At 39.2% G+C, this 24,645-nt stretch overlaps 1 long non-coding RNA gene across 1 annotated transcript in view; it reads right to left on the reverse strand.

Moving 5' to 3' along the window:
* LOC105372668 (uncharacterized) overlaps positions 1-4,969 on the reverse strand; it is a 54,483-nt gene extending 49,514 nt beyond the window's left edge. The window contains exon 1 of the long non-coding RNA XR_936864.3: positions 4,683-4,969. This is a non-coding gene — a long non-coding RNA (uncharacterized LOC105372668). The remainder of the gene's footprint in view (positions 1-4,682) is intronic.
* Between the last annotated feature and the right edge of the window lie 19,676 nt (positions 4,970-24,645).

Raw genomic sequence — 24,645 nt, forward strand, 5'->3', positions numbered from 1 at the left:
GAGGTTTGATTACACATGTCATGTATAGGTTCCAAGAAATTCCCCTATATCTTTATAATAAATTGTCCACATTGGTGAACTAACTTAAAGGAGTTCTTGAAGTTCCAACATTTACAAGCGATGAAAACATCCACAGACACCAGAAATTGAGATAGGTAAAAAGATAGAGGTCTCCAGTTGAAATCTCCGCAGAGAGAGCATCTTCTAAGTAATCCTTTTCATTTTACTCACTCTAGAATTCACGTTACCAACGGACAACTTAAAAATATGTTTCTGTTTAAGGGAGCAACACAAACCTAACCAATTAAGAGAATTAAATACCCAACTGTCTTGAAAGGCAGCATTCTTGGGGACAATGGTACATAAGAAAAGGGAACCCTGTCCAGCATCACAGAGACCTCTGGAATAGCAACTTGGGAAATCCTCCAGGCCAAATCTTGCACACGGGCAGCCAGGAGGACAAACATGGCCACAGAGGTCTTGTCTTTCATTTGGCCTACATCAAGTTAAATAAATGGGGACCAATGTTTAAAAACCTAAAAAATGAGAGCTCTTGTACACTGTTGGTGGGAATGTAAATTAGCACAACCACGATGGAGAACAGTTTTGAGGTTCCTCTAAAAACTAAAAATTGAGTTACCATATGATCCAGCAATCCCATCGCTAGGTGTATATCCAAGAGAAAGGAAATCAGAGCATTAAAGAGCTATCTGCACTCCCATGTTTGTTGCAGCACTGTTCACAATAGCTAAGATTTGAAAGCAACCTAAATGTCCATCGACAGATGAATGGAAAAACAAAATGTGGTAATATATACAATGGAGTACTATTCAGCCATAAAAAAGAATGAGATCTAGACATTTGCAACAATTTGCATGGAACCAGAGATCATTATGTTAAGTGAAATAAGCCAGGCACTGAAAGACATATGTCACGTCTTCTCACTTATTTGTGGGATCTAAAAATCAAAAACAATTGAACTCATGAATATAGAGATAGAAGGATGGTTACCAGAAGCTGGGAAGGTTAGTAGGGGGTTGTTGGGGGGAGGTGGGGATGATTAATGGTACAAAAGGAAATAAAAGAATGAATAAGACCTACTATTTGATAGCATAATAGGGTGACTGTAGTCAATAATAACTTAATTGTACATTTTAAAATAACTTAAAGAATATAATTGGATTGTTTGTAACTCAAAGGATAAGTGCTTGAGGAGATAGATACCCCATTCCCCATGATGTGCTTATTTTGCATTGCATGCCTGTAACAAAACATTTCATGTACCCCATAAATATATATCTATATATGGGGTACATATATATATATGGGGTACATAAATATATATATATGACTAGATAAATATATATATGACTATATATATATATATATATATATATATGACTAGACCCTGGATTTCTCTTGAAAATCTGGGTGATCTGACAATAATGGGTCTATTTTCCCCTTCTGCAGCAGCCAGGTGGAGCCAAGCAGTGGCTGCCTCTCTAGACAGACAGGGCCATCCTTCACAATGACACAAGCACCGGGACTCACACAATGTAAGCATGGGCTTCATTCATTTACACCAGTGGTTCCCGACTGAGGATAATTTTGTCCTTCAAGGGGCATTTGGCAATGTCTCAGTTTTTGATTTTTGACATTTTTGATCATCACATGATGGGTGAGGAGGTGCTACCCACATCTAGCAGGTAGATGCTGAGGATATTGCTAACATCCTAAAGTGCACACTACAGCCCACGCAGCCAAGAATTTTTGGTTGCAAAATGCCAGCAGTACCAAAGTTCAGAAATAGTGATTTACACCAACTTCTTGGCCCCTTAGGCAAGTGAGGTTGTAATTCCAGATGAAGTCCATTTCTCAGAACTCAGGCAAGACTAATAACTATATAAGTACTTCCAAAAAGCCTACTGTCTCTACTCCTCTCTGCTTCTCTGAGCAGTTTGGACAGTAAGACTCAATGATTCAATTGAGACAGCAACATCTAACATCTGTACACTTGTTATGTGGCAGACAGTGCACTAAGTGAATTCACATCTACAAACCATTTAAGTCTTTCATCGACTTTACAAGGTAGGTATTATGATTTTATGATTAAAACTGCATTATTGCTGGTGGCAGAAACCCTTCTCCAGTAGCCTGTAGACAGAAAGCTCCTTGACTGGCACAAGCAGACTACCTAGATGCTAGAGCAAGGTGACCTGGACATGAGTCCTGACCCTGCCATTTACCATCCCTGTGATATTGAGAAAGTTGTTAAAACCCCTTGGGCCTTGGTTTTCTCATCTGAAAATGGGATAATAATAATAACACTCACCTCATTGTATTATTATGGAGACTAAAAGGGCTCATGCATGAAAGGTACTCAGAATGGTATCTGATCTATAGCAAACATTCAAAAAAGTTAGTTATTGTAACTACTATTATTTTTGTTGTTGTGTTTGTTGTTGTTGTTGTTTGACTAAATACTCAGGCAGTAAACAGAGAGTGCTGGTTCCAAGTTTTCAAAGCATTTCATCAAATCTCTCTGTTTCTCTCTTGTTCTCGGCTTTGATTTCCTCTGCAATTTCATTCTCAGGCAGACCCTTCCTAAGTGTTGACAATTCCATGAATCAAAACTCTACATTCACGTCCCAGAAGCTTCGCATAAGCAGTAAGATCCCCAGTAACTGGCCCAGCTTGTGTTATTCTTAAATCACTGTTGCAGTGGTGGGAGAAGTAAGGTGCCCTGATCAGCAGCCCTGTGTTAATTGTCCCCCTGGATCTGGGGAAGAGTCAACTCCTCTCACACCACATGAACCAAGAGTGAGGAAGACTTACTCCTCCAGAGACAAATGGGGATGGTGTTTCACTATGAAGGAGAATGATCCAAGCAGGCAAAAATGACAGCTCTACAATTATTCCCATTTTACAGGAAATTGTCTCAGTAAGATGAAGCAATTTTCACACGGAAACAAAGCTATTAAGTGTGAGAATAAGAATTTAAATCATGACTTCCAAATATCCAGGAACAATTTAGTATTTTAAAAACCTATATCAATAGATCAAAAGAAAAATGACAGTGTCATCATAAACGCTGAAAGACTTTTGATGAAAGTCAATATCTTTTCTTGATAGATAATCTCTTCTAATATTAAGCTTAAAAAGCAATGAGAGAGACTTTTAAGAAGACTTTAAATCGCTGCTAAGGGACTTAGAAGACTTGGGGAAAAAAGAATAATTGCATGACGTCACTTTTTGATAAGTAAATCTATATATTTAATATTATTTCAGGAGAAATGCTATCACTTTTTTGAACTAGAAAATCTAATTCTAAAGTTCAATTAAAAATATATCGATAGGAACAGTTAGGAAAATTCTGAAACATATTCTAAAAGTAAAATGATTAAAATGTGGTGGTACTAGAGCAGAAAAAAACAGATCAATGGAATAGAATCGAGTCTAGAAATATGGCACAAATAAATATGGAAATGTATTATGTGACAATAGTGACATTTAAAATCAGTTTGGAAAATACTGATTATTAAATATATGACGTTAAGGTATCGGAATAGCTGCCTGATTAAAAACAAAATGAAATCCTGCCCTGCTCATTACACTAAAACTTATGCCAAATGTTCAAGCCTTTAAATGTAAACCATTAAAATGAGCTATTATTTACTAAAAAATGAAATGGAAGAACTTTTATCATTATCACAGGACAAAAAGGCTCTTCTACAAAAACAACACTACACCAAGTAGCCATGAAAGAAAAGATGAATACATTTAACTATATATTGTTGTGGACTATATAAACTTTGTTGTCCCTCAAAAAAGACATGCTCAAAACCCAGCCATCAGGACTTATGAATGTGAGCTATTTGGACAGAGGGTTTTGGCAGATATAATCAAGTTAAGTTGAGATAATGGTGGATCGGGATGCATCCTAATCCAATGACTAGTGTCCCTAAAAGATGGGGGGAATTTGTGTATGCAGTTACTCAGGAAAGAAGGTCTCGTGGAGACAAAGGTAGAGATTGGAGCGATGCTGCCGCAAACCAAGGAAGGCCAGGGATTGCCAGAAACCAGCAGAAGCTAGAGGAAGCAAGGAAAGATTTTCCCTAGAGCCTTTGGAAGGAACATGGCCTTGCCAGCACCTTGATTTTGGACTTCTAGCTTTCAGAACTGTAAAATAATACATTTCTGTTGTTTTCAGCCACTCTATTGGTGGTAGTTTAACACAACAACCTTAAGAAACTAATATGATTATTTTAAAAAAGAATTTACATGGGAAAAATTACACAAAACAAAAGAACAAATGGCAAAAATCTTTGCGACTCATATAAGAAAGAACTAGTTTTCTTAATATGTAATGAGTTTCTGTAAATCAGTATTTTAAAAAAATCCAACCACTTAATAGAAAATGGATACATGAAGTTGTATGATGTTTTCATTGCTTTGTTGAGACAATTAAAAGAAATAATTTGTGTGTAACCCAAATATGATGATTATCTAATGGGTAGCCTTTGAGCTTTCCTTTTAACCACATTTAGAATATACACAGCATATTATCACCTTCTTCCTCATTGCTGTAGTGATGAAAGTAGATTTTACTGAAGATATTGAGGGGAGAGAGGAAGAGGACTTATATCACCCACTATGCACCAAAACATCATTTAAAAAATTACCTTTTAAACGCATCTGTTCATTTCTCAAAGTTCCACTATGGGCCCCGACGTCTTCTAGTTCTCTTTGTTTTTCCTTCAGCCTAACATTCCCAACACTGCCTCTCAACTATTTTTCTCCTTTCCCTAGTAATTCAATTCACAGCTTGCATGATCTGGCCAGCAAAACAAAAGCCAGGCAGTTTTCGCTGATTCCATCCTTAGAAAACAGTTCAGGGGCCAACCATTGTTAGTCCCGTGGAGTCCCATCAACCCAGTCACTTTGCCTTTTCTTGGAGCAGGAAAAGAAGGAAAGCTTTTGCTGCTGGGAAGATAAGATCTTCTTCAGATGGCCACAGATGTGAAGAATTAACCCAGTCGGAGCCAGCTTCATGGACATGCCATCTGCACAGTTCCACGGAGAAGGGACCTGTACTTTGGGTAATGCTCTGCCGTCTTGAAATTCTCAATAATTGTCGAATAGTGGGCGCCACATTCCCATTTGCATGGGGCTCCACAAAGTATACAGTCAGTCTTGACACAAAAATTATTCAGTAAACAGTTATTGCTGTCATTACTCAAAGCACAAATGCCTTATCTCCTGAGTAATCCAAGAGACACAGCGTCTCAAAGCTTCATACTTTTAAAGAAAAAAAAATTTTTTTAAAGCAAATGGAGAAGAAGGGGGAAAAAACTAGCTGCATGAACTTCGAAGCCAGGAAAACTGGCACCATTGCCTTTAGCAAGATGTTATCTGACATCTTTTGGCTGAATGCGTCCTTTCATGGGGTGATTAAGCAGCAAATATCTCCGAGTAGCATAATGTTTATTAGACGTTACTCTGTTAGGGCAGCTTGTGTTTTCCCTGTATTCTGTTTCCGTATTCAAGTGTGTACAATTTGTTGATTTAAATAAAATTTAAAATAAGCCGTGTTGCTTGAAGAGCTGCTGACAGGGCCTCGTGGAAAACTTTGAGAGGTTTTTTATTAGGAAACAATTCTGTTTCTGTGTCATGTTTTTCTGCCTTATGCTTTTCCCCCAACCCCCTCCCTGTCCTTAGCACCACAGGACAGCAGCCTGAAAACCAATATTTTTACTTTTTTTGAATGTTCATCTGGCTCTCTGAAATACTTCTATCCACAAGGCAAGGATTCTACATGTCCATCCTGTCTCCTAGGTTATTAGAGAAAAGGGGCAAGCCCGCTTCTGACAAGGGTCACCTGCATTCCATGCCAGGAGTCATGTACATTCTAAGTGTTAGATTTTCTGGAGTGTTGATCATTCATTTATTCATCATCCATTCATTTATTGTTTTCATTAACCACATGTTTAATTGATGGCAAAGTACAGAGAAGTGGATACTGTTTTATGTCACTGGATAGAATGATGATGTCTCTTTAAAATGAAAGTACCCATGATCTGGGCCACGTCATTTGTTCTCTGCTTGTGCCCTAGAGAAACCTTCAAACATGGACACAGAGACACGTGCAAGGAAGTACATCACATTCTTTGGGGGAAGTGGAACAACAGGAAGCAACCTACATGTCCATCAGCAAGGGGACTGCTAAGTAAGTGTGCAAGAGTGAAACGGGATGTGGTGGTGAAGAAGAAGAAAATAGACCTCTATGTACCTACTGTATTAGTCTGTTTTCACACTGCTGATAAAGACATACCCAAGACTGGGTAATTTGTAAAGAAAAAGAAGTTTAATGGACTCACAGTCCCACGTGGCTGGGGGGGGGGCTCACAATCATGGTGGATGGCAAAAGGCACGTCTTACATGGCAGCAGACAAGAGAGAAATGAGAACCAAGCAAAAGGGAGACCCCTTATAAAACCATCAGCTCTTGTGAAACTTATTCACTACCACGAGAATAGTATGGAGAAAACTGCTCCCATGATTCAATTACCTCCCACTAGGTCCTTCCCACCACATGTGGGAATTATGGGAGCTACAATTCAAGATAAGATTTGGGTGAGGACCCAGCCAAGACATATCACCTACATAAACAAATCTTCAACACATATTTTTTAGAGAAAAAGACAAGTTGCACAAACATCTTGTACCACATGAAGCTTTTTTTAAACAACCAAAAGGTTCAGAAAACACAAAACTATATTTGTATTTTCTATAGGTACATACACATGTATAAAAATACAAAGGAAATTCTGGCTGTTACAGATGTGTGCTAAGAAAAAATTTACTAGAAAATTGTTTGGAAGAAAAGTCAACAAATTGATACAGTACCACAGCTGGGGAGGAGCGTGGTAGGGGAATGTACCACAAGCACCTTCAGTTTATTTGTAATGTCTTATTTTTATATGACAGTTTATTTTATTATTTTATACATTTATTATTGCTTAATGACAAATCAATATTTTAGCTGATATAAAAAATCCTCTGTAAAAATTCAAGGAGTTAATATTACCTAATAGTTCCCCAATCCATGTTTGCTTTTATATATCAAATATACATTGTAGGCACACTGAATTTTTATATAATACAATACCCTATGTACGTGTCCAATAAATATCACTTACAGGCATGGATGAATGAACAAAAGCTGAACGGATACTTTTCCCCTCCATCCTTTAGAGGTGGAGGCTCCTGAATTACTGTTTTACCACCTCTTTGTCATATCTGAAATCTAGTTCAGAGAAGAAAATCATGCAAATAATTAGAATTGCCACTTATTGAAGATCTTTCTATATGCTGCTGGCTTTAAAGAATTTTACTTTCCTAATATTATTTTCCTGTTACTATTGCTGCATAAAATAAAAGATCACCCCAAAAATTAGTGGCTTAAATCAACCATTTTCATGTATTCTCAGATTGTGAGGGTGAGGATACTGAAAAGAGCACAAAGGGTTAGCTAGTCACAATGTCTGGGGTTTCTGCTAGGAAAACTAGAATACTGGAAGTGACTTGATGGTTGACAGCTGGAATTATCTGGAATGTCTCCTTTCGTGTAGCTGACAGTTAATGCTGACCATTAGTAGGAACCTCAGTTGGGTCTGTTGGCAGTAACACCCACATGTGGCTTCTCCATGAGGCTGCTTGAGCTTCCTCTTAACAAGGCAGCCTCAGGGTGCTTGAACTTCTTACATAGTAGCACCAGATTCCAAATGTGAATACCTCATCTAACAAGGCAGAAGATGTAGGATTTTTATGCTCTATATTCAAAAGGCATACAGAATAACCTCCACTACATCCCATTGGTTATAAGTAAGTCAAAAGCCTGTCCAAATTCAAGGAAAGAAAAATTAAACTCTTCTTCTGGATGGAGGCAATGGATATGTTCTAGAAAAGAATAGGCCAGGAGATCTTTTTACTGCCATCTTTAGAAAACATAATCTGCCACATCTTCATAACAATCCTCTTCTGCAAATAGGTGAATAATCCATCTTATAGATGAGAGAGCAGGTGCAGAGAATACTTTATTTTTCCAAAGTCAAATTACTCGATGGCAAGTGGCTAAGCAAGGATTCAAACTCAGGTCTGTGTGTCCTCAAAGCCTCCTCTCCCCACCCGTCACTGCCATCACATCAGGTGGATATTATATTTATGTATTTCATCCTGCTTTTATTGCTTATCAGGGAGACATACTCAGATACCAAATGTTATCTTATATAGAGATTGCATCTTCTTGCAATTTTCAGCCCACATGACTGGTTCAATAACCTGCTCCTCAGTAGTTAATAGGAAGCCATTGAGATGAGTCTTTTCTGAAGGTCCAGGGAAATTGCTATTAAGAGACCAGAGTTTGAGCAGTGTTGGCAACTTCAGGATGGTGGCTGATCCACAGTGATCGCTGACTCCGGTGAAAAATGATCCTCTGTCTATGTGACACAATTATTTGGGTATTTACCACAAAGGCCCTTAGATAGGCCCCTTTCAATCAGAAAATAAGAAATAAGCTGAGGGAGAAAAATAGCTAAATTTAAATGTAACTGCTCACATTGTTTTGTCCTTAGATGGATGGTAGGTCTCTCTCATTATTCACCAAGCACAGACATGCTACCAAGAGTGATTTGGCAACTTGTGAAGATAAATCACAACCAGGATGGCTGCTGTCACTGTCCAGTTGAGAATGTGACTCTGGAGGCTGACAGAGTGTGGGGGCAAGCACATGCATGGGTCCCACTGGTGCAAAGTTTGAGAGAAAAAGGAGGACCCAGAGAAAGGAAAACAGAAGAAAAGCAATAAAAATACCATGTCTCCCCCGACATTGTTCCCAAGTGCCATGCTTTCGAGAGAACAAATGTTTCTGTGAGTCCCCAGCAGGTCAGAAGGAAGACAGATGGCAGGTTACCGAAGCAGGAGGGGAGGAGGTTATGAATTCAACCGTCAATGAGAAGAAAGCACAGATTTAATATGTAGTTCAGGAGAAAATGGAAGAAAGCAGCATGACACTCTAAGAATCTGAAGGGAGTTGTATTTTCTGGATATTTTTGGATGAAATATTTCATACATGACACAAAGCCGAGATCCTCCAAATTAATTTTGTTTATTCTATTTTTGTAACCTATATTTTTGTGATCTTAAAAGCAACACCTTCTAATAATGCAATTTTTTGCAAATATAGTAAAATGCATAAAAATTCATACTCATTAGATCCAGGAGTAACCAATGTGAATATCTTGTTACACAGTTTTCCAGTTTCCCTCGTGTATATGTACATAGAACTATATGTCCTGCAAAAATGGGCTCAGATAATACCTAATGTTTTGTGTTCTGCAATTTTCGTTTCTTATATCACAAGCTTCTTTCTATGTCAAAAAGTAGACATTTACATAATCATTTAACGGAGGCTTAATCTTCCATGGTAATATTAGTTAATCAATCCACTATTACTGAATGTTTAGGACTCTGAATTTTTTTCTGTTTGCAAATAATAAAACATGAACATCTTTGCACATATACCTTTATGTACTTGCTTTCTTCTGATATATTTCTCAAGGTGTTTTTTAGTAAGATGAGAAATTTGTATACATATTACTAAATTATTATTTTGTTAAGTTGTACCAATAATTATCTAAAGTCAAAGCTAAAAAGATGCAATTAGCTTTTTTCTTTCTTTCTTTCTTTTGTCTTTCTTTTTCTTTCTTTCTTTCTTTCTTTCTTTCTTTCTTTCTTTCTTTCTTTCTTTCTTTCTTTCTTTCTTCTTTCTTCTTCATTTCTTTTTTTCCCTGTTCCTCTTCCCTGCCTCTTTCTGTCTTCACTAGTCAGTAACTGCTATTGTTGAAGCAGGTTATTTTGCTCAGGGAACTTACAGATGAGGGCAGGCATTGGAAACTGTGGCCCATGGGCCAATCAGACCCACCATCAATTTTTGTTAGGCCCATAAGCTAAGAATAGTGTTTTTATTTTAAAATGGTTGAAAAAAATCGAAAGAAGAGTAATATGTTGTGATACACACAATTATATAGATTTTAATAAGTTTCACTTAAACACAGTCACTCTATTTCTTTACATATTGTCTGTGGTGCTTTCACCCTGCAACAGCAGAGTTGAGAAGCTAGGACAGATAATGTCTATATTGCTCACAAGGTAAGAAATATTTACCATCTGATCCCTTTGTAGAAAAAGTGTGTGGACTCCTGGGCTAGTGACAATAATGTTTCTAGCTTTCACTGGAGACCAGGAGCTGTCCCAGGAGAACATCATAGCAGCAGTTAAGAGTGTGATAGTCAACAGGTCTCCTGGGTTCAAATTCCAGGTTAGTGACTTACTAACTGTGGGACCTTAGACTCATTGTTAAAAGTCTTTTGCTAAAACATCCTCAACTGCAGAAAGGAAAGAATAATACATACTATTGACAACCAATATTATCACCAGGATCAAGTAAAGGGAGGAGTAAAAAGTGTTTACCATAAGAGCCTAGTGCATGGCAAAAAAACTGTTGTTACTATTTGCTCTTCACTTCTGGAAATTTAACTTAAAATTTGTTCAAATATCTTTAGTCCTGGAATTTTAATTTATTCTGTTATTCTTTCTTATCCTTGAATAATTTTTGGTTCCAGAACAGATGGTGCCAATATTATCAAAATAAAATTTATAGTTTGAGAAGACTTCTTAAATGGAATAAGAAAAACCATGTACCATTATCTTTTTCTCTTCTGTGATTCAAGTGCCTCTTCACTTACTTATTCATAGATAAGATATGTTAGAATAATTTACTTTCAGGTCTCAAAAGAATGGGGAAGCTATAGCAGGTGCATTATGGGAGGTAGCTGGCCTCATTGAAGATGCCAACTTGCCTCAAGAGTTAGGGTTAAAAGACTCTCTAGTCTAGAAGGCATATGACCCATCCTCAGTCCAATGCCTGAAGACATCAGTTCACAGCCATGCACCGAATATTACAGCTTACCATTTAAGATAGTCGTCCTTATTTGCTGTTCTGCATATATCCCTGGACTGGGCAGTTTGTGGACATGGAAAAACCCAAAGTGGTGTTCTCTCTAGGAATGCACAGATGCTCTTTGACTTATGATGAGGCTGCTTCCTGATAAGCCCATCTTAAATTGAAAATACGGTAAATCAAAAATGCATTTAATCCATCTAACCCATAGAACATCATAGCTTAGTCTAGTCTGACTTAAATGTGTTGTTTTACTTCCATTAGCTTATATGTGGACAAAATCATCTAACTCAAAGCCTATTTTCTAAGAAAGTGTTGAACATCTCATGTAATTTATTGAATACTGCACTGAAACTGAAAAACTGAATGATTGTATGGGTGCTCAAAGTACAGTTTCTATTGAATGTGGATCACTTTTGCACCATCCCAAAGTCAAAAAATCCAAAGTTGAACCATTGTAAGTCAGGGACTATACACAAATCTCTTTCATAAACTTGAGGCAGATCTTGCTGTATCTAAATAAAGCTCTCTCTGAGCATAATTTAAGCTCATTCTTTCTTTTAAAAAGTAAAAGCATTAAAGTGAATATCTCTTAGGTGGGCAGTGAGCACCTCACCTCTACTGGGCAGAGTTGGGGGTATAGAGATGGACCAAGCTCTTCAGCCATGCTCCTTGCATCCCTGTGTCTGATCATTTAGTTTGTCCGGCTTGAACACTACGTCCCCAGGGATGGTTTCCCCAAACATCCTGTCTGCAGGGGACCTTGCCTCTATTTCCCAAAACAGCCCAGTGTATGTCTTTCAGAGCACTAAAAATATAGATTATTTCTTTGTTTAATCCATTGATTTGTTTACAGTCTATGCCCACCCCCATTGTAATATAAGCTCCACAAAGGAAAGGTCTTGTCTATCTCATTCATCAATGTCCCAACACTTGTACAGCATTGGTGTGAATAAATACTTGTCTTGACTCTCAAATTACCCACAATTTTGTTCCTCATTAAGACTGACCCCTACTCCCTCTCAACTATTATCTCTCCCTTCATTCTACTAAATTCTTGTCATTTTCTTGACACACAGATATCTTTTTCTTCTATTTTTCACACAATCCATTTCTTCACCTAAAACATCTTTTCATTCTCCCCATTTGCTCTCCCCCACTTCTTGGCTGACCACCTCTTAGCTGTTCTTTAGGTTTCAGCTTCTAGATTACACCCAGCAGGAATCCTTCCCTGATCATTCTCCATGCCTAGGGTGGAGAGTTGCCTCTCTTGAACTCCCCTGTGCCCAGCACACTTCTCATCATTTCTTTCACCCCAAATGGCTATTCTTACCTGCTGAGTTGTCTGTCTCCCCAACCAGAACAGCACAGTTCCCAACGCAGTGGCTGGCAGGTAGTTGGTGCTCAGTGATGTGTTTTTAATAAATGAATGGTTAGGTTGGGCGCGGTGGCTCACGCCTGTAATCTCAGCATTTTGGGAGGTTGAGGCAGGCAAATCATCTGAGGTCAGAAGTTCGAGACCAGCCTGACCAATATGGTGAAACCCTGTCCCTACTAAAAATACAAAAAGTAGCCAGGCATGATGGTGTGTGCCTGTAGTCCCAGCTACTCAGGAGGCTGAGGCAGGAGAATTGCTTGAACCTGGGAGGCGGAGGTTGCAGTGAGCTGAGATGGCACCACTGCACTCCAGCCTGGGAGACAGAGCAATACTCTGTCTCAAAATAAATAAATTAGTTAATTAAATGAATGGCTAAACATTGAAGAATTATTACCCTATATCCATAACACTAACCCATATTTTTAACAGTGTATTAGTCCATTTTCATACTGCTATGAAGAACTGTCTGGCACTGGATAATTTATAAAGGAAAGCAGTTTAATTGACAGTTCAGCATGGCTGGGGAGGACTCAGGGAACTTACAATCATGGGGAAGGCAAAGAGGAAGCAAGGTAACTTCTTCACAAGGCAGCAGGAAGGAGAAGTGCTGAGTAAAGGGGAAAGATCCCCTTATAAAACCATCAGATCTCATGAGAACTCATGCCCTATCACGAGAACAGCATAGGGGAACTGCCCCCGTGATCCAATTACCTCCACCTGGTCCCTCCCTTGACAGATGGAGATTATAGGGATTACAGGAATTACAATTCAAGATGAGATTTGGGTGAGGACACAAAGCCAAGCCATATCAAACACTGAGAAGAAGGTATGTGTTATTCATTAAACAATAGTAAGAACTGATTTCCTCAACATACAAAACCTTCCAAGAAATCATTGAAAAAGAAACAGAATAGAGGCATATCATAGACAAATGACAAAAAAAGAATATACTTCATAAATACATATATGGCAAGCTGCTTAATACCTGACTCAAGACAGATGTGAATTAATATTCTACTGGGAGACCGCATTTTCTTTTCCAAATTGCAAAAATCAAATGGTTTGATAATACCCTCCCTGAGTAATCGAATGGGAAAACAGATCTTCTCGCTTATGAATGATGGGAATGTAAATTCAACAACCTCTACATAGGACACTTTGACAATATTTATCAAACTTACAAATGCACTTACCCTTGGCCCCAGCTAGTCCACTTCTAGGTATTTATTCTGCAGAGACCCTCCCACATGTGTGGCGTGACATGCATTCAAGGTTATTGACTGCAGGGTTGTTGGTAAGAGCAAAACTTTGGAAACTCCCTAAATGCCCCTAGATTCAGGGCACTGAATGAATAATTTATGCTACAGCCACATATTGGGGTGTATTACAGTTTTTTCAAAAGACGATGCTCTTTATTAATGTATGTGGGATGATCTCTAAGATAAAAGACTTTAGGTTTTACAAAAAAGTAAGGCAAAAAGAAAACTATGCTATGTGTATAATATATGACCATTTGTGTAAAAAAAAGGAGAAAAGGAGAAAAGGGGTGTGTGTGTGTGCATGTGCTTAAATATATATGTACTTATTTGTGTAAGCATAAAATACCTGATTAATACGAAATTTGAGAGAAGGGGTGAAGCTAAGAGGCAAGGTGGCAGGAAGGCTTTTTACTCAATAATTTTTAATGATTTGTAGTTTAGAATTGTGTGACTCTATTATGAATTCAAACATTGGGAGAGGGAGGAGGGACAGAAGAGAAAGAAAGGGAAGGAGGAAGAGAGCGAGAGGGGGAAGGGAAGAGAAAGAGAGAAGGAGTATGCTCCAAAGGTCAGTCCTAAATCAGGTAGAACAAACTAAGTTGCTCATGGTAACGAGGTTAAGCATCTGCCACTTCATGTTCCCTTTCTTCCTCAGTAGTTATAACAAAGTAGAAAAATCAGAGAGGCAAATCTCAGCCTCTCACCCCTTTTGTGAGTCTCCTGGTTTCTCTGATGATTCTGCAATAATTAGCAAGAGCTGGATGCATGCTTCTAAATCTCATCTAGCTGGTGACCCAAGAGATGGATCCCACCACATCCCTAGCCATCTAGAAAGAAACTCACCAGGCTCTCCTTCCTGGCCTGTCTGAAGACACAGCCCCTGTTCCTCGGGAGGGCTCTGTGATGTCGATTTATGTAGCAGCAGCTGTCACAGCTCACTTCAGCAGAAAGGATTGAACTGTCCTGAATATGTCAATCAGATATCAAAGATAAATGAAGTTTGAAAAAATAAAATGTACAATTTATTTTTAAAAAATAGTCTTTGGGAGACACCCAGAATGCACTTTGAAAAATCTAAGGGAAATGTGTCATGAAAACAAATCCACATTCTGCTGTCCAACTTTAATTTTTCACTGATAACACTCGAGCAGGCTGCAGCCCAGCCGATAAATAAAGATGCTCCACCTTAATGTTCTCCAATTGCCATCTGCTGTGATGGAGGGCCTTTCCCAAAGATGCACTTGCCCCTTGCACTTCAGCTCTGACCACCTCCCCCTCCAGGTCCTCTGGATGTTAACGAGCAGGCACAGTCTTCAGGACTTTCCCCCAAGGACATCCTATGCCTGCTGCTCCAGGAATGCATTTGCCAAGGAATCCGCTAAGCTGCCTTGGCATTGCGTGCTGGTTGGGCTTGGTGATGTTTGGGGTTTTAATTCACTTTACTAAAATTGCCTTTCATTCACTTGGTGACAGGTAGTTATTTGTTTTCAGGATTCCATTTGACATTTATTGTTAGCGTAAAACACTAATAATAATAATTAGCGCCTTTTTAGAGTTGTCTGGGGTTTTCATGCCATTGCATTGTTACTATAAAACATCCTGAGGCTTTTCTGTGTATAAGATAGTATGATGGTATTTAAATGTAACAAAGGGGTTTATTATACTCAGGCCAGATTGCAGTATCTCTGAGCCCCCCTCCCTGTGAGCAAGCCAAGACTTCATATCCTCCCAACTTGTCTGCAATGCTAATACCTATTTTTTTTTTGAGATGGAGTCTCCCTCTGTCACTTCACAACATGGCAAAACCCTGTCTCTACTAAAAATACTATAAACATATATAATATATACACACACATATGTATGTATATACTATATACACGTATATGTATACATATACATGTATATACTGTATACACACACACACATATATGTGCATACTGTATTTTATTTTTTATAGGAGGGAAACCTCAGCATGGTTTGACTTTTTTCTTAGAAACAAGCAATCCAATCTAGGATTTATGCTCTAAACTATGCCGTCACATACAGTAGCCACTGGTCAATTGTAACTATTTACATTTAATGTAATTGAAATTAAATACAGTATTCGATTCCTCTGTTGCACTAGCTTCTTTGCAAGTGTTCAATAGCCACAAGTGGTGCAGGGCTACCACACTGAACAGTGCAGCTGCAGACCACATCCAGTGTTGCAGAAAAGAAAGTCCTACTGAATGGCACTGCTCTAGAACCTGGATTCTAGAAATGTGGTCCAAAGACCAGCAACACTGGCATGAGGTGCAGTTTTGTTCAGAAACACAGTCTCTAGTTCCCCACCCCCAGACCTAGTAACAAGCTCCCCAAGTAATGCATTTGCACACTTATGTTTGAAATAGGAGTCAGAGAAGTTTCTGCAAAGAGCCCAGCAGTAAATGTTTTGGGCTTTGTGGGCCATACAGTCTCTGTTGCAACTACTCAACTCTGGCATTGTTGTGACAAAGCAGCTATAGACAATACCTAAGTGAATGTGCATGATTGTGTTCCAATACAGCTTTATTTAAAAAAACAAATGGCAGACCATATTTGTCCCACAGCCCAGCATTTGCTGAACCCTGCTCCAGAACATTCTTTAAACGTCCCTGTAAATACTATGAGTATCATTTAATTCCCACTCTTGGATCTCGAAGACTAAGCATCTCTGATCAAGCATCTCTGATCAAGCATCTTGGTCTACGATCCTGGGAGAGATACTTTTCTGGAATGTCTCTGTTGGCTTGTGTCTCTGTCTCTTGTTTCTAAAGAAAACTGACCCATCTGGCCAACTAGAAGCTAATGATAAAAAGGCCAGTCAAAGTGGTTCACACCTGTAATCCCAGCACTTTGGGAGGCTGAAGCAGGTGGATCACCTGAGGCCAGGAGATCATGACCAGCCTGGCCAAAATGGTGAAACCTGTCTCTATTAAAATTACAAAAAAAATTAGGTGGGCATGGTGGTGTGCACCTGTACTTCCAGCTGCTCAGGAGGCTGAGAGGCTGAGGCATGAGAATCACTTGAGCCTGGGAGGCAGAGGTTGCAGTGAGCTGGGATCATGCCACTGCACTTCAGCCTGGGTGACAGAGGGAGGCTCTGTCTCCAAAAAAAAAAAAAAAAAAAAAAAAGAAAAAGAAAAAAAAACTTAATGATAAAAAGAAGGAGAGTGGACAGAGCTGACCATGCTCCACAACGGGACCTAATCAATATGAAAAGGAGGGCGTCAGGCTGCTTTTACTCTCTGCCACACATACCCCAGTTAAACAATATGTGAAGAGGTCCCTGAGCTTTGATGTAAGACTGGCAGGGTCAGTTCCAAGTTCTGATATGTGCTTTGCCCACCTGAGCAAGGGTTCAAGGAACCACGAAAGAGGTGGACAAGCGTTGAGGTCTGGCCCTGGCCCAGCCCAGGTTTGCATTCTACACAGAAAACATGGCCACATAAAAGAGAAAACATCTGTTAAGGTCCAAACTGACGCAGAAGGTGTGTGAGCCATGTGTGTGAGTACTTCTCCTAATCACAGCAAAGCGGCTCCCCTTGCACATGGGATGGAGGAAAGGCCAGGAGTTCCCTCTTGACTTTTCTGCAAGGCCCAGAGTTCCTTTCCCATGCATCAAGGTGAGAAGGCTGAAGAAGAGGAAACATCTCAGAGGATTATCTCAAAGCTCCCACTAGATTCAGGATCTCTGCCATGGATGTTTGATAAACTCTACTTGATGATGCTCAACTTGAATTCCATGAGCCAGGAACGTCTGAGTAGGAAAGAGATATGTGAATTCAAGGAAAATGGCAATTTGTTCTTTCTGTTTCTGCCAAGTTCTGGATGAAAGATAAGTCTCCACTCTACCCTCTGCCAGGTTCCATGAAGGATAAAATGGAGATGGAGCACAGAGTATGTGTAGAGATAGGTTGGCCCTTTACAGTCAGACAATCAGAATTCCTGTGTTCAAATTCCAGATTGGCCACTTGTTAGCTCTGTGACTTTCATCAATTCACACAATATCTCAAACCTCACTCTTCCCAACTGAAATACAAAATAAAAATACTACCCACCTTGGCATTATTGGGAGGAATAAATGAGACCATAGACACCAAGCTAGGTGCACAGCATAGCGCATAGCAAGTGCTCAGTAAACACCTTCTACAAGAATTATGTCATATATTCCTCAAACAACCACACACAGTAGGAATTAAATTCTCACTTTATAGATGATGAAACTGAGGCCTAGCATGGCGAAATAACCTAGATGAGAACACAGAGGTAATAAGGGGTGGTGCTTGGATCAGAATGCACACATTTCTGCAAGCTTCAATTATTTCTACTTAGCTGTGTCATTTATTCCAGAGAACCACTTAAAAGGTGTTTTTTTTTAGGATACTTGGCTCCTTTTTTTTTTCTCCAGAAACACCCTACCTGTCCTTTAAAAAAATGATCGGATGCTAAGTCTGGAGACACCATGCTACCTCAAAGACCCAGTGCACAAACTGGCCCTGCTCCAGGGCTGTGAACAGCAACATGACAACCAAGGGTGCCCCTAAATTAGTTGGTGGGAAAATCCTGGCCTCCCAATCTAAGCAATAAAATCTTCTAATCCAAAGATCATCTTCTCTTCAAAATCACTCAGAAAATGTTGTCCACGCTACATGCTGTCCACAAATTCATCATTTTATCATTGCTTAAGACAACGAACAAGCCCAAATCTGCCGCTAAAAATTCTAAAACTAAGTCCTAGCATCACACGATTGCCCTAAATTAAAGAATAGAGTGAAAAGGAAGATATGTAACAAATTTTAAAAGCGAATAACTCTTTGATCCAACAATTCAACTTTTAGAAATACCTTTTGGAAATAATCAGACAAGTATACAGTTACATGAACAAGACTGTCAGCTGGGTGTGGTGACTCACTCCTGTAATCCCAGAACTTTGGGAGACAGGAGGGAGAATTGCTTGAGCCCAGAAGTTTGAGACCAGCCTGGGCAACATAGTGAGATTCCATCTCTTAAAAATTTTGTCTTAATTAGCCAGGCATGGTGGAGTGCTCCTGTGATCCCAGCTACTCTGGAGGATGAGGTGGGAAGGTCGCCTGGGAGCTGGAGGTGAGCCTGGGAGCTGACGGAGCTGAGGAGAGCCATGATCACACCATTGCACTCCTTCCTGGGCAACAGAGAGAGACCCTGTCTCAAAAAAAAAAAAAAAAAAAAGAAAGAAAGAAAGAAAAAGAAAGAAAGAAAAAAGGAATGTTCATTTCAGTGATCCTAATTGAAAACAATCTAAGTTATGCTCATTTGGGCATTGGAGAAATAAACAATAGAACAATCATTTATTAAATACCATCTGACCATGAAGAAGGTTGGGGAGATTCCTATTGCTGGATTGCCAACAATCTACGAAATGAAAAAGGGGTGTTCATCGACTTCCCGCATCCAAAACATCATGACATGTGGCCAGCCACATCCCCTCAGCAACCCCTCGAGTGACCACGTGTCACGACGGCCATCATGCGTTTACCTCCACGTGGAAGCATCCCTCTCTCTTCCTCCTCTTTCTTGATTGCTCCTCTAGCAAAAAAGTCTTCACACAACAACCAAACTGAGCCTGTAGAAACACAAACCAGAGGAGGATACATCCAAACCATTTCCTGTGGTCTGCGAAGCTCTATCTATGCTGGCCTCTGCCTGTCACTTACAGTCATCTCGCCCTACACTCCACCCCGACACTGGCTGTCTTGCTGATCCTTGAAGCACCAATGTCATTTCTATCCTTCAGCCTTTCAGGGGCTGTTCCTCTGTAGGGGATTGGGGGTGGGGTGGGACTCATTTCCTAGCTCTAAAAAGCCCAACTGCTTCTTCTGTCTTAGTTTCTCTCCAAATGCCCCCTTCTGAGAGAGGCGTTTAGTGGTTAAAATCACCCGCCCACCATGCCACCATCATTTTCCATTCCATGAGCCATTTTTTTCCTTTATGACCATCTTACCATTCCTGTCTTTATCTTACATGTAAATCTATTTATGTGTTTACGCTTTGTCTTCTCTCCAGAATGTAAGCACCAGGAAGGTGCATGTTACAGATGTCTCTATTCCCAGTACCTGAAAAACCACCTGCCATAGAAACTCAATAAATAGTTTATTAAATAAACAAATAAATTTGTAGGGTCACATACCCTTTATTAATAGTGAATATACACAGGCAGGTAGAATTGTAGATGTCTTATTCTTTTGTTTTATGGTCTGCTTTTTTTCTGGTCTCGAAAGAGCAAAAGTTAATTTTGTAATTTTGAAAAGCAATTTCTCTTATCTTAAATAAATAATAAATAAAGGAGCCAAAATAGAATATAACCCTTCAAGGAGCCAGTAAGAACCTCTCATAGCCCACTTTTCCAATGACATCTCAATTGGTAATGGGTCTTTCTTTTCCTTTTGAGTCAATTTTGGACACCTTTCCTTGAAGCTATTGTTAGTTTAGAAAAAGACAAAAAAGTTAAGTTTAAAAGAGTCAGATGTATAATTTCTTATGCTGGAGTTTACCAGAAAGACTTGGAAGGTAAACTCAGGCTTTTTGTTTTGCCAGGGTTGGGTTATATTAACTTAAAAAAAAAAAACTAAAACATCTTGGTCTTAAAGAAATGTCTTCTAGTATAGACTTCTTCTCTATTGAGCTGTTGTTTTAAGTCCCAAGGACTTGGAAGGTAAATTTATTCTCTTTATCTTGCCAGGGTTGGGCTATATTAACTGTAAAAAAGAAAAGAACTAAAAAATATTGGTCTTAAAGAAATGTCTTCTAGTATAAACTCTTTCTCTATTAGGCTGTAGTTTTAAGTCCTGTTTAAATTTAAATCTCTGTTCATCTCCAAAATAATATTGACTGCAAGACAAAGGATGACTTTGGCATTTTCAAATATTTTTGAGTGTGTAAGTCCTTGCAGGAAGAAGATAGCTGATAGTCATCTGTACTTAAGAGGACCTAAAGGAGGCTCTTAAAAGAATTCCAAAGCCCAAAAGTAAAAAATGATGACTTCATCCTGGCCATGCCCCTTAGGAGCAGCAATTTATCTGAGAACTTTGACCAAAAGTGAGAGACTCCTATGTAAGCCTAGAGCAAGTGTTAACTAAACCTATAAAGCTAAGTCAGAATCTGTGACAGCAAAGGAAAATTCTATTACCTATATGACCATACCTTTTTTTTTCAAAAGCACACTAACTTGTAATGATTGGTGGCAAATGTTACATCTGTTTATTTTCAGAACAAGATGTCAATTTAGGAAAATGTTTTAAGCCAGCACTGGTGAATATCAGTCTCATGAAAGAGTATGATTCTATGGAATCATTTCACGTGGAAAATGCCCACTTTTATGCAAGCATCTGAAATCACCTTCTACATCCTTTTGAGGATTTTCCAGGAGAAAATATGTGTAATATTCCAATTGACATATTAGTGGAAGCATCGTAGACTTCATGGGCAACATGGAAAATATATATTTTTTAACATATCTCAGAAAACTTTGCAGCACTAAAGTTAAGGAATGAATTCAAATGCTCCGAAAACATTCATTTATTTTCTTCTCAAGTTTCCTGAAACAAAGTGCTCAGATGAAATATTTGACTACATGAAACCATTTATTTTGGTAGCATTTCCACCATTAACCTTAGATCATCTCCTAAAGACAGCCAGGAAAGAAACAAATAAACACAGCTCATTCATCATGAAGCGTGATAATAGGACATTTTATGAACAGAGTGCTTTCTATTCAGAAAGAAACCATGTAATTTTAACAAGGTACACAGTGGGTATTATCCAGCCAAGTACAAAGCATTCACCTCAAAATATTTATTGATATTATTTATACTATAATTATCAAAAAAATAGGCTGAGACTTATGATTGATCCAGAATAGATGGATGCTTGCCCAACCTTTACGATGATCCTTTGGCCCTGAAATTTACCAAAATGTAAGTGTAATTATTTAAATTAAGCAATTCCATAAGACTTCAGTGAATACCCACTATGTTTCTAGGCAGTTCCAGGTAATTCAATTGATTTAAATATTAGACACTGTTTCTGCCATGTGATAGAGAATAGAAAACTTATTCCCCCTCCTCATGTCTCCATAAGGGAGTTTCTGTTCCTTGAAAGAGTATTAGAGTAAGGCTTCTTTCTATGCCCTCAATGATAACAATGCCTAAATTGATGAAAGAGGTGTTGCATCTTCATAAGCCTGGCCTAGAATCCCTTCTTTATTCTAGGCCATCCAGCTCACATGGTGGATACATTCTCTTCTTTCTTTTGTTTTAATGTAGTTTTTGTTCTTGAGTGGGGCCCTAGGCCTTGGCAGCAAAAGTCCAATCTAGAAACTCTCTTGCCCCAGTATTGGTACTCAACAAGTGTGAAGCAGTCTTTTCTTTCAGATAGCTGGATGAGTGACCCTGAAGACCCCGTAAAATGTAGATTGTAATAGATTTGTTGAAAGGATAAAATGAACTAATATAAGTAAAACATTTAGTTTACTATTGGGTAAGAGCCCCATTTTCCTACTCTATGTGGGTTCTGAGCTACGGACTGGGGAGGTATTGAGAATCCAGATTACCTTAGAACATAAGCTTCATGATGGCAGGAATTGTGTTGTTATCACCCCTAAAATTTCAAGAGCTAGAACAAGGCATGTCAAATAGCTGATGCTCAGAAATTTTATCAACTGAATAAATTATCTGTTGTTTCAGGACCAGGCCAAATTCTTCTACTCACTTTGTCTTACCTCAATCTTCATATCTCTGAATCTATTGTCAGTTTCTTAATTGGTTGTGAGTTTGGTGGGAGATGGATGTGATTCATTGGCCCCCTTAAACAGCACCATTGTCAATAGGCCATGAACTGGCTGGAAAACAGACTTTAATATGAAACAATAAGAGACTAGGAAGTGCCATATCATATTGATATTGACCATTAGTGCAATAGGGACTCAATCAGAAAAGAAATTAGTGAAAACTATTGTGGTCCAGAACTTTGAGCTAAGCTTTAAGATAATGACAGATTTAGACATTCAGATAAGTAAGCATACCAGAAATTCACTGTCATTGGCTAAGGGAAGGGATCCCTTGTATCTTACTTCTTATTGTATCACAATGTCTAGCACATAGCTGACTCACTCAATAGTAGTTGAATGAATGGTATTGGATGCTAACGTCAAATCAGCTAGCTGAATAGAAGGTAGTAGAAACACAATGTCTTTGGAGCATAACAGAGCTGCATTTGAATTCTAGCTTCACTATTTAATAACTTTATAACTTAGGACAAAGTGGACTTAATGCTCTTAGTCTCATGTTTCTGATCTGAGTTCAGCCTCTCCCTCTCTCTCTCTCTCTCTCTCTCTCTCTCTCTCTCTCAGTTTCCTTTGCACCATGGGATAACACAGCAAGAAGGCCCTCTCCAGATGTTAGAACCTTGGTCTTTGACTTCTCAGCCTCCAGAACTGTGAGAGATAAATTTCTGCTCATTATAAATTACTCAGTCTATTATGGTATTCTGTTTTAGCAGCACAAATGGACTAAGACAGTATGTTACCCTGATTTCTGCTGGAAGTGCCACTGGCTGACAGCTTCAGCTCTCAATGTAATCTGGGAAATGGCCTCAGTCAATGTACTATGCTACAACTGGCTCCTATTGTCTTGTAGGGGTCAATTGTGGCCATCTGTTTCCAATTCTGTGTTCAGTTGGCAGCCAGAAATCAGCCATGGTGGGAGTATTTATGCAAAAAGTCAGCATTTTTTTTCTGAAAGGGCCAGATAGTAAAAATTTATGGCTTTGCAATATTATCTGTTGCAATTACTCAACTCCACCATTATAGCAACCATGGATAACATGTGAACAAATAGGTGTAGCTAACTTCCAATGAAACTTTATTTACAAAATCAGGTGGTAGACCAGCAGTCTGTGGCTTGTCAATGGTTTCTTTACATCATGAAAATTAGTAAACATTACAAATAAGTTTTTTTCACCTTCAGATTGACAGTTGTTAAACATTTACCAGTCCATCACAAGAAGTCAATTCGCCCAAGGTCACATTCCTTTTGCAAGGGCAAATTGAAACTAATGTCTGTTTAATGTGGAAACATGAGATTAAAAAGCAGACTCTTGGTCAGGCGCAGTGGCTCATGCCTGTAATCCCAACACTTTGGGAGGCCTATGCAGGCAGATCACCTGAGGTCGGGAGTTTGAGACCAGCCTGGCAAACATGGAGAAACCCTGTCTCTACTAAAAATACAAAATTAGCTGGGCATGGTGGTGCATGCCTGTAATCCCAACTACTCGGGAGGCTGAGGCAGGAGAATGGTGTGAACTCGGGAGGCAGAGCTTGCAGTGAGCCGACATAGTGCCACTGCAGTCCAGCCTGGGCGAAAGAGCAAGACTCCGTCTCAAAAAAAAGAAAAACAAAATTAGCTGGGCGTGGTGGTGCATGCCTGTAATCCCAGCTACTCTGGAGGCTGAAGCAGGATAATGGTTTGAACCTAGGAGGTGGGTGTTGTGATGAGCTGAGATCAGCTCCATTGCACTCCAGCCTGGACAACAAGAGCAAAACTCTGTCTCAAAAAAAAAAAAAAAAAAAAAGCAGACTCTTTGCCCACCATCTTACACAACTAAGAAAGTTCATCCCAGCTTAAAATCTCCCTGTGGGGTAGATTGAGGACATTGTTGTGATTGTATTGCAGCTTCATTTCTTTGTCTGCATAACCCTGCTTCATTCTCTTCTCCTTCCCCCAGCATCTGTCCTTACCTCCCTTCCTGGCCACCACAGCACACCAAAAATTAGGATTAAGTTACACCCTGTCCTGCTCAGAGAAGCACTTGGCCCACTAAGGGAGGAAAGGGACTATATAAATATGCCAGAGGACTTAGCCAAAAAAATTGGCAGGAGTTGGGAGAGTACATATGAAACTAGACTCTGAGGATGTTGTTAATCAAGGAAGTGGA

Source organism: Homo sapiens, chromosome 20 (genome assembly GCF_000001405.40).
Source record: "Homo sapiens chromosome 20, GRCh38.p14 Primary Assembly".
Lineage (NCBI taxonomy): Eukaryota > Metazoa > Chordata > Mammalia > Primates > Hominidae > Homo > Homo sapiens.